Source organism: Homo sapiens, chromosome 3, assembly GCF_000001405.40.
Source record: "Homo sapiens chromosome 3, GRCh38.p14 Primary Assembly".
NCBI lineage: Eukaryota > Metazoa > Chordata > Mammalia > Primates > Hominidae > Homo > Homo sapiens.
In genome coordinates this window covers 159,988,038-160,001,187 of record NC_000003.12, presented here as the reverse complement: position 1 = coordinate 160,001,187, position 13,150 = coordinate 159,988,038, and the positions used below count along the sequence as shown (strand labels likewise).

The following is a 13,150-nucleotide window of genomic DNA, read 5'->3' as shown; positions in this document are numbered from 1 at the left end:
AGACATATACTCAGACCACAGGTATTTAAATTATGTTAACTAAATCAAAACGTTTATGAATTTGGATTTTTCCCCATTATGAACATGTATAATTATTTTGAACTAAGTAAGCATATGCATTTTCAATTTTTTAACTCTTTATTTTTATAATTGTGAATAAGTTTCTTTCAAAGACTAGAGACTTATTTTTTAAATTTTATTTTTATTTATGTATTTTTTGAGACGGAGTCTTGCTCTGTCACCCAGGCTGGAGTGCAGTGGCACGATCTCAGCTCACTGCAACCTCTGCCTCCTGGGTTCAAGCAATTCCCTGCCTCAGCCTGCTGAGTAGCTGGGACTACAGGCGCACACCACCACACCTGGCTAATTTTTGTAGTTTTAGTAGAGACAGGGTTTCACCATGTTGGCCAGGCTGGTCTCGAACTCCTGACCTCAGGTGGTCCGCCCACCTCGGCCCCCCAAAGTGCTGGGATTACAGGCATGAGCCACCACACCTGGCTGAGACTTCTTTATTTCTATCTAGATTAGGAAAAGACATGAGAATTGTGGGGGCTCATGAAGATTCCCTTTGTTTCTGTATCATTTTTAAGTTCCTGGGGCTGGGAACACAAATACGTGGGTAATACTACATTGCCTATATCTGAGGTTCCCACAGTTTAGCAAGAGAGAGAAGGGAGATACATAAATAATTGGGATGATATTTATATGGTTATAGGGAAAGCATTCCCTTGACTTAGACAGTGACTTCAACATGAGCATAGCTGCTGGCACAGGCTGAGACCAGGCCACTTAAAATGTTAATTATGTGAGCTTACATAATCTTATTATTTATTATTTTTATTTTTTGTAGAGATGGGGATTTTGCCATGTTGCCCAGGCTGGTCTTGAACTCCTGGGCTCAAGCAATCCTTCATCTCGGCCTTCCAAAATGCTGGGATTACAGGCATGAGTCACCGCACCTGGTCAACTTCAATAATTTTCTTCACTTTCCACATCCATAAAAAGGGTTATTAGGATGGTTATGTTTATTTGTGGTAAACTCTTAGGAACATGCCTGGCATTTAGGAAGCACAACTGAGCAGTTGCTACTACTTTTTTTTTGTCTAAAACAGATTCCATTAATATACTGTTTTTGATATTACATAGATCTAATTCATACTCATATTTTTAATGTAAAATTGAAAGATACATAAATATAACTAAAGTTTTTGTGCCTGTTCTCACCACATATATTTCAAAACATTTATACGCATCCTATTTCACTTTTTTAAATAAAATATTTCAAGTACATAGAATTCAATTTTTGGACAATGCGGCCATATTTTTTTCTTACTTATCATATTGTAATGCAGTTTGCTTTAAACTAGGAAGCCAAATTATGCTAGCCAGAACCAAAAGTATTTTTTAATTTTTAATTTTTTTTTTTAGATGGAATCTCGCTCTGTTGCCAGGCTGGAGTGCAGTGGTGCGATATCGGCTCACTGCAACCTCCGCCTCCTGGGTTCAAGCAATTCTCCTGCCTCAGCCTCCTGAGTAGCTGGGACTACAGGCACACACCACCATGCCCAACTAATTTTTGTATTTTTAGTAGAGACAGGGTTTCACTATGTTGGCCAGGATAGTCTTGATCTCTTGACCTTGTGATCCGCCCGCTTTGGCCTCCCAAAGTGCTAGGATTACAGGTGTGAGCCACCGCGCCCGGCCCAAAATGTTTAGTCCTCAAATAAGGATAATAACTGAATGGCCCAGTGTGACACAGAGAAGAGGACTTATGATGGCTGTGGGTGCTGGCCCCCAACAAAGCTGGTGTTCTTTTCTTTTTGTCTGTAGTTTCTTATCCTCCTTTGGGTGTCTAAGGGTCTTTTACATCTCTTGAGTTTTTCAATACTTACCTTTGGATGTCTGGCCAGACCATGTCCTAGAACTGTTCTGTCTTCCCAAAGTCCTGGACCTTTAATGGGGCAGCTGACAACTAAATATTTTTCATGTTAATTCTCTGATTTAGTCATTCTTAGGTGTGAGATACACTTTCAAGGTTTAGTTTCTTTTGAATAAAGTAGTTTGTTAATCAAACGAATCTCCAATTGACTGGGGGGTATTTTTAGGGGGATGGTCCTTGGTTTTGATAAGTTACTTTGCTCCTGGCCTGGCTCAGTGGCTCATGCCTGCAATCCCAGCACTTTGAGAGGCCGAGGTGGGTGGATCACCTGAGGCTAGGAGTTTGAGACCAGCTTAGCCAGCATGGTGAAACCCTGTCTCTAAAAATACAAAAATTATCTAGGTATGGTGGTGGACACGTGTAATCCCAGCTACTCAGGAGGCGGAGGCAGGAGAATCGCTTGAACCTGGAGGGTGGAGGTTGCAGTGAGCCGAATCGCGCCACTGCACTCTAGCTTGGGTGACAAGTGAAACTCCGTCTCAAAAAAAAAAAAAGTTACTTTGCTCTCCACCCTTTGTTCTTGGAAGGCAGAGACCCTGCCTTTTGCCCTCATACTTCACACCAGGCAGCCGCTTGTGCCGACCACACTTAATATGCTGAGTGCCATGGGGGACAGCACATCAGCGGGTGTTCTGATGTCTTGTGAGAACTGTGACAAATTTATGTTGAGTAATAACTAGGTGCTGGCACTGTATTGTGTCATTTAATCTTCACAATAACACAGTTAATTAGGTCCCACCGTTTTCTGAATTTCATCAATGAGGAAATAGCAGCAAAGAGGAGGTAACAAATTCGGTGCAGGTGCTTAGCCCAAAGACTAATAATACATTTCAAAATGTGCTTACATTTATTGTGCACTTACTATGTGCCAGGTGCAACGCTAGCCCTTTGCACGAGTTGTTCCATTTTACCCTTTCTCTGATCCTTTTAGGTAGATTCTAGTATTACCTTCCTTTTTCAGAAGAGGAGACCAATGGGGAGCATTGGAATGATTTGGTTGCAAGCATACTACACTACTTGTAAACTGCAGACACAGGCTTAAAAAAAGTGAAAAACTAACCATGCAATAAAGAATGGAATGAACCATGAAGCTGTTTCTGTGGCCAGTCATGTTTTTGAAGCATATCCCATGCTAATTTCTAGAACAGAAGAAACACACGTGTTCTTGTGTGTAAACCCAGTCCATGGAAGAGACCGTCTGCTTGTCCCTCCTGATCTCTGGGCCCAGACAACCAGTAGTCACCATTCCAAGTGAGGGGTGGCTGCAACTCTACAGCCCCGTTCGTCTCTCCTCACTGTCAAAGCTGCTGAGACCCCAGACTCGACACTTGAAAGAAACCCATGTCTGTGAAGCACTTGTGGACCATTCAAGATTGTGGAAGAATCACTCAAGAGAAGGAGATAGGTGATGGGATCTAGCTTCTGATGGTTTCTATTTTATTGAATGTCTAATAGGGCAAGAATTTGAAAAACGAGAATGTTTGCCATGCAGGAGGACCTGGGAAGGAGATAACACATTTACAGGGAGAAAGATTGGGATTCAGTTGGGAGGAGTAACTGAGGAAAGGGGTCACTCAAAATATTTTGTATTTTAGGTCCTTTTTCTATTAAGGAGGAATGGATTATCAAAGCCTTAACATTAAATTGTATTGTGTCAGGTGAATTGCTATGGTTTGAATGTGGTGTGTCCCCCTCCCAAACTCACATTGAATTTTTTTTTTTTTTTTTGAGACGGAGTCTCGCTCTGTTGCCCAGGCTGGAGTGCAGTGGTGCGATCTTGGCTCACTACAAGCTCTGCCTCCCGGGTTCAAGAGATTCTCCTGCCTCAGCCTCCCGAGTAGCTGGGATTACAGATGTTCGTCACCACACCTGGCTAATTTTTGTATTTTTAATAGAGATGGGGTTTCACTATGTTGGCTAGGCTGGTCTCAAACTCCCGACATCAGGTGATCCACCCACCTCGGCCTCCCAAAGTGCTGGGATTAGAGGAGTGAGCCACTGCACCCAGCCTCACGTTGAGGTTTAATTGCCATTGTAACAGTATAAAGATGTGGGACCTTTACGAGGTGATTAGGCAATGAGGACTCTGCCCTCATGAATGGATTAATGCTGTTATCATGGGAGTGGATTCCTTATAAAGGGACACGTTCAGCACCCCCTTGCTCTCTCTCTCACCTTCCGCCATATGATGATGGGGCACAAAGGCCATCATCAGATGTTGGCCCCTTGTTCTCGAACTTCCCAACCTCCAGAGCAGTAAAAAAATAAATCACTGTTCTTTACAAATGGCCCAGTCTCAGATATTCTGTTACAGCAGTACAAAATGAACTAAGTCATGAAACCTAAGATTTACATGATTTACAGCAGTGGTCCGCAACCTTTTGGGCAGCAGGGGCTGGTTTTGTGGAAGACAATTTTTCCACAGACCCGGGGGGCAGGGGGCAAAGATAGTTTCGGGATGAAACTGTTCCACCTCGTATTATCAGGCATTACTTAGATTCTTATAAGGAGCATGCAGCCTAGATCCCTTGCATGTGTAGTTCACAATAGGGTTCACACTCCTATGAGAATCTAATGCTGCCACTGATCTGACAGGAGGCGGAGCTCAGGTGGTAATACTTGCTCACCTGCCACTCACCTACTGCTGTGGGGCCCACTGCCCAACAGGCCACAGACCAGTACCACTCCATGGCCTGGGGATCGGGGACTCCTGGTTTAGAGAATTAAAAAGATGGAATTTAACATTTAGCTCATTAAGAGCACATCTCTTAAGCCAAAGTAAGGCAATTATCCATGTGGTTCAGGCAAAAGTTCTATACAGTTTTAAACAAATGGAGAGATTTTCTGGTTGCAAATTAGAGACAACTTTTCTCTCAGAGCCCAAAGGGTCACAAAAATTAGAATAATTAGGCTAGAAGGCCTCTTAGTGACATTTTTTTTCTGGTTGAAGAATACTATGAAGTATTTTTCTAATGCACAGCATACTTTTAGTCTTATGTTGAACAAAAATAATAAACCCTCAAAAACCATGACTCACTTGGCTGCCTTAGTAGTAAAGCATATCTTGTCTTACTAGGGTCCCTTTAAAATGAGATGAAAGGGACTAGGAAAGGAATAAGAATATTGTGGCATTCTTTCCAGAGTAATTTTGTTGAAGTCTCATCAGAGTTTTCAATTTTCCCACAATGTATATTTTAACACTTAAAAGTACATTAGAAAAATTGCAGAATCACTTTAATTCAATACTTTTATTTTTAGAACACTTAAAAATATTTTTCAAATACACTTGATAAATAATTTAATAAATATAACATAAATAAATATAAGTTAGCTCAGATGCTTTCATGATTACCAAGTTATATAAATAAATATTTTAAAATAAGTTATGCTTACATGTTTGTTTCCACAAACACTTTGGTACAGAAATAGCTTATAAATATTTGCCCTTCTATTAAAGTGAATGAAAAACACCTTCAGGATGGATATTTTCCCTTCTTAGCAATTCATTCATGAAAACTTAAAAACAATTTATCCACAGTAAATGTCAAAAATACTTGATCAGAGGTATCATGTGGATGTAATAGTCCCATCCTTCTTTCCCCCTCCCTAGTTCTTAATCCACATCCTATCAAAGTTTCCTCATTTCAAAGTTTTATAAAAATGACAACGGTTTGGAGGGACCTCGCTTTTTAGGAAGCATTCAGATAGCTCATCACTCTATCAATAGTCACTGCCCGAATTCTGAAAGCATGAAGAAGTATGCAGAGCTTGATTTTAGTTTTATAAAAATCCGGTTCTTCAAGGGAGGATTTTTGTGGCACAGTCTCACTGTTGAAATTCAGGGCCTAGGAGAATGAACAGTAAGCATGACTTACATGGTATTCCAAAATTCAAATATTCATTCATAAAAATGAGTGAAGCCAGTACATGTCTCAGAGCCTGCAACTCAGTCCCTTATGCCACTCCTAAACCCAATCCAAATCTACTCTCAGCCAGATCACCAGGCAGAATGAGAAAAGAAATACTCATTTTCCAAGCACATCCATCTTCAATGAGCTCTGAAAAGACCCTTAAAACTATTTAGAAAAAATCATCAGTGGGAGTTGTGTCTTAGAAAGAAACAGTTCCTTTAAAATGACATCTGCTGCAATATCTAATTAATTTTATATATGTTACATTAAAAAGCCCACTTCTGTTTAGCACAGGGAGGTGATGGATTGCTATTGATCAGAACTCACTATCAGTAACAGGCCTGTTTACTGAAGACATGCCATTTGTGTCAGATAAACCTGGCAATGAATTTCCCAAGTTTAGCACTTTGATTTGATAACAGAATATAAAACCTTACATTTGCACCCTTGATGAATAAATACTTTCATATCTTCCTCACAAAAAGTCTAAAAGAAAGCTAGAATAAAGTCACCCCATTTTATACTGGAGGAAACTGAGGCACAGAGGGGTTAAGTGACTTGGGAATAGTTGTCTGGTTACTGGTAGAATTGATTCTAGCACCCAAATCACCCAACTCTTGGTCCTAAAAATGAAATAGCAACTACAGCTCTCTAGATGCTAACATTCTTTGATACTTGGATGAAGCTCATTGCCTTTCAAACAAGAAATCTGGCACATGCACACACACACACACACACACACACACACACACACACACGAAAAGAATAAAAGTAAAACAATTACTTTTCAGACAATGATTTCTGCCACCATATTTTTATCCCATGTCCTCGTCACCAAAGCAGTCACCCTCGCTTATATAAATATTTGTTTTATATTAGCATCTGTGTTATGGTGATTCAGAACATAACAAAGCAAGTTCTTGCCTATGAATAACATTATAGATGCCCCAGATGATAGGTCATTCTTTTATTTGGTTCACATTTTGGTTCACAATGGGTCATAATCAGGCACCAATCTTGCTTGTTTCCCAGCAATATTTGCAGATATGCAAACTGGCCCCTTGCATGCACATCCTGGAGCACGTCCTGGAGCCTTTAGAGGTGAGTGAGAAGGTAAGTGTAGTGAAATCCTCTTGAAGGATTTTAAGAGGCAGAGCCTCAGACAAGTGGTTTAACTCTCCTAAGGTTTGGTTCCCTCCTTTGTGCAGATCCCATATGGTTGTTTTGAGGCTGACATAAGAAAATGCACAAAAACATTTGCCGAGTGTGGGGGATACCACAGAGTGAATACTTTGGAGTCTGCTTTTCATAATGTGATCTGCTCACATTTGTGCTCCCTATAGACGGCACCCTCAAGGCTGTCTTCTTGAAAATGTAGGTCTGTCAGGCCTTTAAAAGGCCTCCAGACCTCTTTTTATATCTCTTTATCAAAGACCCTGGCTGGTTATCTTTAGCATGAAAAAGGTGCTCTCACTGATAGAATGAAGTCTTACCTGCATCAGCTCATCAATAACTGCCAGCATGTTTTGATCTAGAAAGATCTGCCTCTTAGGATCCATCAGAAGCTTTGCATTCATGGTCTTGAACTCCACCTGGTACATCTTCAAGTCTTCATAAATACTACTAAGGCACAGGGCCTGGGTGACATGACAAGATGGGGAAGTATCCATTGAGATGGGCTAAAAACATTTCCCCCATTGCATTTGAGGAAAGAGCTGTGTGTCTTACCATCATAAAAGAGGTCTTTCTGGAGGCCAGGCAACTCCCATTCTAGAGGAAAAAATAATCAGACATCAGTGATATGAATTCATCATACAGGCTGAAACTTTTCATTTTTTGACTTACAGTTATGAAAGAGGTCTCTCTGGAATTTAGGCAACTCTCATTCTAGAGGGAAAAAATCATATATCAAAGTATTAATTCTTAGTATAAATCTTTCTGACTCTTCAGGTCTCAAATTTTTTTTATTATGGTAAAAACACATATCATAATATTTAGCATCTGAACTATTTTTAAGTGTTAAGTGTATTCACATTGTTGCAAAAAAAACCATTTTTTAAAAATAATTTTTCTCCCAAATCTAACTTCTGAAGTAGGACCAGTTAAAATCCCATAATGATGGATACCAGAAACGTGAATTTTTAGAAGCAGGTGAGATTTGATGCACAGTTTTTAACCACACTGCATGCTCTGGGAGGAAAATCCTTTATACCTTGGTTAATTCCAATGGTAAACAGGCCTCCACTGTGCTGGTTTTATCTTTTGTGATATCTTCATGATCAATCTCTTCAGAAGTGCAAGGGTAAAATTCTAGAGTTTGTCTGGCCTATAAAAAATGAAGGAGAAACTCAGTTTATAACATTGATAATGCACCTGGCACCCCACAAGGCTGGTAAGCCAGGGTGCCAGGAAGGCTCCGGCTGGCTGCCCTTGACCTCTGTCACTTTGACTTGCAGGAAATTCTGGTTCTTCATAATACAAAAGAAAATAGATTCCTTACATTCTGTCTCTCACCCTCCTCTCCCTAAGCTTGGGGCATGTTTCTCTGGATTACATATTTTTTCATTATGTAAACACAATAAATCATGTCAACAGCCTGTGCTAACCAGCCTCCACACCTCACTGTGACACTTGCTTCTGGTGAAAATTGTTTCTTCTTTTGCTAAAGTGACTGTATTCTATGAATACCTATTTCAAGTATAACTTCTAAAGGGGGAACTGTTAAGGTCACAGTCTGATGGATATAACAAACATGCAAACCCTTAAGACAAGCTGAGATTTAATTTGCAGTGCACACACGCACACACATACACAGAGATGTCATCTTAGTGTGTTGGAAAGCACCGTTGGGTAAAATTATGAAATGTATCTTAGGAAGTAAAGGACTGTATGATTGAAGATTACGATCATTTTTCCATTCAACAGCCTAATGGGTGGCAGGCACTCCATTAGGTACTAAGAACATGACAGAGAAGAGGACCATGTATACCCTCCTGGATTGCAAGTTTAGCTGCTGAGACAGACAATTGCCCAAATGACCAGGAGGCATCAGTAGGTGAGACATGGTGAGAAGGGCATGAAGCTTCTGAGGAGGGGCAGGAAGGGAAGCAAAGCTTCCTAGAGTTGGGACACCCACATTAAGAGGAGTAAAGTGTCGACAATGGAGGAGGGAAATTTCAGACAGAGGTAACAGCATGAGCCAAGAAGCAAGGCCTGAAAATTCAGAATACGTTTGGGCACAAGTAGTAAAATCCCTTTCTGTGGTAGCTAGACCAATTCTCCACCTCCAAAGACATCCACCTCCCAATCCCTGGAACCCGGTAATGAGCTATGTGACCTGCCAAAGAGGAATGAAGGTGCAGATGACATTCAATTTGCTAATCAGCTGATCTAAGAGTAGAGAGATGATCCTGGATTATCTGGGTGAATCCAGTGTAAGCAGTGTCCTCAAAAGTAGAAGCGGGTAGAAGGTCAGTCCAGAGGGAGCAGCATGAGAAAGACTCAACCAGACATTGCTGGTATGGACAATGGAAGGGGCCACAAGTCAAGGAATGTGGGCAGCCTCTAGACCTGACAAAGCAAGGCAACAGATTCTCCCCAAGAGCCTCCAGAAAGGGCTACAGCTCTGCTGACACATTGACTTTAGCCCAGTAGGACCCATTTTGGACTTCTGATGCCCAGAGCTGTAAGATAATAAATTTGTGTCATTTAAACCCACTACATTTGTGACAGCAGCAGTAGGAAATGAATACACTATTCCCGGAGGTGTTTAAACAGACCTGGGCAACCCCACTATTCTGAGCAGGTTATAAAGAGTTAGATTTGGAGGTGTGAGTCCAGTGTTGTTCTTCAGATCTTTTCAAGAGAAGCTAGAATTTTGAAATCTTAATTGAAATGTTTGGTTTTTGAATGGCATCAAACTAAAAAATAAACATATAGCCCAAATTCTACAAACCTGTGCCCTGGATATGGCCGGTGAATCACTTGCATCTACCTCATTTGTTTTCTACTACAGCAAATTTGACAAATGATGTACAAAACATTAAATTGATTTCTATAATCTTTTGACCCTTAGGACTATATCTGGGAGTAGGGGTGTCAGCTTTTGCACAAAAAAATCTATATGAATTGGAGCACCTAAAAGTTACCCATTTTGAACCTTTCTTCGGGAAACAAAGCAGTTTTCACTTGAGCCCCCTGTCCAATTAAGATTAATTGAATTGTGAGGAGCAATGCACAGCACATTATGAAAGATTGAAAGGGGAAAGGAGCCCTTTAAGAAGGCTTGGTGGCATTGAGCTTATTTTAAGATATTCCTAAGGCAACAAGCTAGAAAATACTCAAGAAAAAATTCCTAGAGAGCAGAAAGGCAGAGGACATCTTTTAAAACATTAGCCTTTAGCCTTTGCAGCAGTAGCTACTGGAGCAGTTTTTAACGGCAATGTTTTTTACATTAAAATATGAAACCTAAAAGAACGAAGCTGTAAATAAAATTAGGTAACTCTTCCCTAGAAAATGAAGGCTGCATGTGCACTGTCATAGTCCTCCCTGAGATGTGTTGCTCCAAGAAGGAACTGTGTCACCAAGTAGAAGCTGGTGGGCAGCAGGAGGGACAAGGCTATTTCATCTTTGTACCCCTGCCCCCCAACACAGAGTATGCACCCAAGTAACTATTTCCGGGATTGATCAGTGGTGTGGTGCCAGAGAAACCATGTGGACCTGACACAATTCTATCTCTGTTGGCAGGCTACAGGAACACTGCAAATATCCACTTTACTCAGTGTAGACATAGCCAAAACCAACATCATTATAATTTATTACTACTCTTGCTTTCTCTGGAGACACAATTTCACTAGGACTCTTTAACACTTGGGCCATTTGTAAAGTTCCCTCTCCTGCTGTTGACAGCTGCTAATGAACTTCCACAATTTCTCTGCAGTTCCATCAGGTACCAGAGGGGAGGATCAGAGGCCCCTTCCTCAGGGAGGGTGCAGGTCCACAGTGGAGAGGACAGGAAAGGCTCACCTTCTGGAGCATGTTGCTGACGGCCCTCAGCAGGTTTTGGGAGTGGTGAAGGCATGGGAACATTCCTGGGTCTGGAGTGGCCACGGGGAGGTTTCTGGCCAAACTGAGGTGGTCCAGGAGGACCAGGGTAGCCACAAGGAGGAGGCCTGGAAGGAAGAGGAGCAGGTGGAGGAGCTTCAGCCTGGATGGCCTGCCTGCACCACCTTCCCTCCATTCTGGCCACCTTCACCCATCCATTCATGCTTGGCACCCACCTCCCTCAACCCATTTCCAACACTTTTCCTTCAACACCTGAGAGATGACTCGAGTTATTACAAAGCGCCACTCTATTCTAGGGCTAGAAGCCAGCTCCCTGTGAGGGTCTAGAGATGAGCTTGGACAAGGGTGTTGAACCCAACACTCACCCAGAGAAAGCCTACATGTTTTTGATCAGGGAAACCCAGACCAGGTGGTGAAGTGGCTGAGTCAGACTTGGGACCCAGTGTTTTAAAAACAGTGGAGTGAGAAAGCCTGACTTTTTTTGTTTTTTTAAGACGGAGTCTCACTCTGTGGCCCAGACTGGAGTGCAGTGGCACGATTTTGGCTCACTGCAACCTCCACCTCCGAGTTCAAGCAATTTTCCCTGCCTTAGACTCCCGAGTAGATGGGATTACAGGCACCCACCACCACACTCGGCTAATTTGTGTATTTGTTAGTAGAGACGGGGTTTCACCATGTTGGTCAGGCTGGTCTTGAACTCCTGACCTCAGGAGATCTGTCCGCCTTGGCCTCCCAAAGTGCTGGGATTACAGGCGTGAGCCATTGCACCCGGCCAAGCCTGACTTTAGAACTGGCTAGGATCTGCCTTCTGTTTGTAGCTGAGGGACCCTAGGCAGGAAAGCAGGAAATCTCCCACGCTGGGCCTCAGTTTCTCCTCTACGAAGTGGGCATAATGATAGCTCATCAGGCTGTTTCGAGATGAAAAGAGACATGCCCTATTTAGCACACGGTGAGACCCCTATTCTTATTCCTCTTTGCAGGAGACGGCTGCTGCTGTTCCAGTCTCTCCTTAGGCAGACTTGAGTTTCTACCCACTCTTCCCAAGCAGCCGCCCCTCCGCACCCGAGCGAGCCAAAGACCTGGCGGGCTGAGTACTCACTGCGCGCTGGACACATGCTGAGCCGGCACTGCAGGGACACAGGGCGAGCCGCTGGATGCAGACCTGTGGCCGCGGCAGGTGAGGGCGGTGGCTGGGAGGCTGACCCAGGGGGCCACATTTTTATAATTGTCCCGAGGCGCGGCAGGACTTTCCCGGGACTCTGGTCTCTTGCTTTCTGTCTCCTTCTGTGTCTCTCTCTACATCAGCTTCTCGGTGACACGTGCGGTGCGGCCGGCCCGCGGGGCTTGCGGCGCTTTCGGATTAACTCCCGGGGTGCCCGGCCGCAGCCGTTCCGGGACGGCCCCGCCGCCTCCAGCTCGGCCCAAAATGAAAGCGAAATGTTCGCAGTTACTGCGCGGGGTCCACAGGCGGGCGGGACACCCCGCCCACCACCCTGGGTCCCCGGCCTTAGCCGGACGCCCCGTGTCTAAGCTACCCCGCCCCGCAGCTGTGCAGCGCCCCCTGCCGACGTAGAGAGAGGAGTGCCTCCCACTTTGCATGTCCTGCGTAGGGATGGGCCCTAACCACGACCTCCAGCCTAGTACTGGAAGGGGTAGGCAAATCATTCACTCATCATCGTTCCTTTAGATGGCTCACTAGATGCCAGGCCGACGTTGCACCAGGTGCAGGACACCCAGGGAGAACAGGACCCTTGGGGCATTGCCACACTAAATCAGACTCAAGGCGTTTTGTTCACAGGTCTTTTCTGAAACCTGAAAAGGGATGAGAGCTGGCTGACTCTGCAATTATTACTCTTGTAGAGAATCCAGTTTAACGATAGGATGAATACACAGAGTCCTGGGAGGAAAGACCTAGAGAAAGAGCCCACGCTCAGCCGGAGCAACGGGGTCCAGGAGTCAGCAAAGGCTCCCGGGAGCAGGCAGGGGCCCCAACCTGAGTGTTAAAAACAAGCAGGCATTAGACCGCTTCCAGCGGGAGGGCACGCAGGGTCTAGCCAGGGGAAACAGGGATCAGAAGCGCAGTCATGAAGGGTTGAGGGAGGTGGGGGTCTAGGTGTCCTTGCAGGGTGTGAGGCTGGAGGGCTGGATGGGGCCATGCCATGAGGGCAGGGGATGCCATACTAAGGAGTGTACTTTCTGTGCTGAGAGTAGTGGGGAGTCTTCCTGGGTTTTAGGC

The 13,150-nt window shown here is 43.7% G+C and overlaps 1 protein-coding gene and 1 long non-coding RNA gene across 5 annotated transcripts in view, besides 5 other annotated features; one reads left to right on the top strand and one right to left on the bottom strand.

The window, feature by feature from the left end:
- The window catches only part of IL12A-AS1 (IL12A antisense RNA 1), a 293,693-nt gene that overhangs the window by 205,905 nt on the left and 74,638 nt on the right, over positions 1 to 13,150 (top strand). Inside the window, exons 7-9 of the long non-coding RNA NR_108088.1 lie at positions 3,083 to 3,344; positions 6,883 to 6,951; positions 11,895 to 12,091. This is a non-coding gene — a long non-coding RNA (IL12A antisense RNA 1). The remainder of the gene's footprint in view (positions 1 to 3,082; positions 3,345 to 6,882; positions 6,952 to 11,894; positions 12,092 to 13,150) is intronic.
- Positions 5,169 to 12,353, bottom strand: IL12A (interleukin 12A). 4 transcript variants are annotated; one of them, NM_000882.4, is made up of 7 exons: positions 12,014 to 12,353; positions 10,876 to 11,021; positions 8,063 to 8,176; positions 7,696 to 7,737; positions 7,579 to 7,620; positions 7,344 to 7,487; positions 5,169 to 5,784 (listed from the first exon to the last, which is right to left on the bottom strand). In NM_000882.4, exons 1-7 carry the CDS (start codon positions 12,129 to 12,131, stop codon positions 5,629 to 5,631), a joined length of 762 nt encoding a protein of 253 aa, NP_000873.2. In that variant the 5' UTR covers positions 12,132 to 12,353; the 3' UTR covers positions 5,169 to 5,628. The 4 variants fall into 3 exon arrangements, with proteins under 4 accessions (NP_000873.2, NP_001384921.1, NP_001341511.1 ...); NM_001354582.2 differs by lacking the exon at positions 7,696 to 7,737; NM_001354583.2 differs by lacking the exon at positions 8,063 to 8,176.
- Positions 11,642 to 12,142: an enhancer, noted in NCBI's record as "H3K4me1 hESC enhancer chr3:159706833-159707333 (GRCh37/hg19 assembly coordinates)". NCBI's record gives its function as "activates a minimal SCP1, AML or CMV promoter by ChIP-STARR-seq in primed H9 embryonic stem cells {active_cell/tissue: H9 hESC(primed)}" and the evidence as "EXISTENCE:reporter gene assay evidence [ECO:0000049][PMID:30033119]".
- Positions 12,093 to 12,142: an enhancer, noted in NCBI's record as "active region_20756". NCBI's record gives its function as "activates an Ori minimal core promoter by ATAC-STARR-seq in GM12878 lymphoblastoid cells {active_cell/tissue: GM12878}" and the evidence as "EXISTENCE:reporter gene assay evidence [ECO:0000049][PMID:35858748]".
- Positions 12,143 to 12,643: an enhancer, noted in NCBI's record as "H3K4me1 hESC enhancer chr3:159706332-159706832 (GRCh37/hg19 assembly coordinates)". NCBI's record gives its function as "activates a minimal SCP1, AML or CMV promoter by ChIP-STARR-seq in primed H9 embryonic stem cells {active_cell/tissue: H9 hESC(primed)}" and the evidence as "EXISTENCE:reporter gene assay evidence [ECO:0000049][PMID:30033119]".
- Positions 12,263 to 12,312: a silencer, noted in NCBI's record as "silent region_14853". NCBI's record gives its function as "represses an Ori minimal core promoter by ATAC-STARR-seq in GM12878 lymphoblastoid cells {active_cell/tissue: GM12878}" and the evidence as "EXISTENCE:reporter gene assay evidence [ECO:0000049][PMID:35858748]".
- Positions 12,383 to 12,582: a silencer, noted in NCBI's record as "silent region_14852". NCBI's record gives its function as "represses an Ori minimal core promoter by ATAC-STARR-seq in GM12878 lymphoblastoid cells {active_cell/tissue: GM12878}" and the evidence as "EXISTENCE:reporter gene assay evidence [ECO:0000049][PMID:35858748]".

Bases quoted from the DNA above. Each gene is read 5' to 3' on its own strand.
- IL12A (NM_000882.4), bottom strand. From the start codon at position 12,131: ATGTGGCCCCCTGGGTCAGCCTCCCAGCCACCGCCCTCACCTGCCGCG. The intron at 7,738-8,062 runs GTATAAAGGATT...TTTTCCCTCTAG, and splicing joins TACCATTGGAATTAACCAAG to AATGAGAGTTGCCTAAATTC. The intron at 7,621-7,695 runs GTAAGTCAAAAA...TTTTTCCTCTAG, and splicing joins GAGAGACCTCTTTCATAACT to AATGGGAGTTGCCTGGCCTC.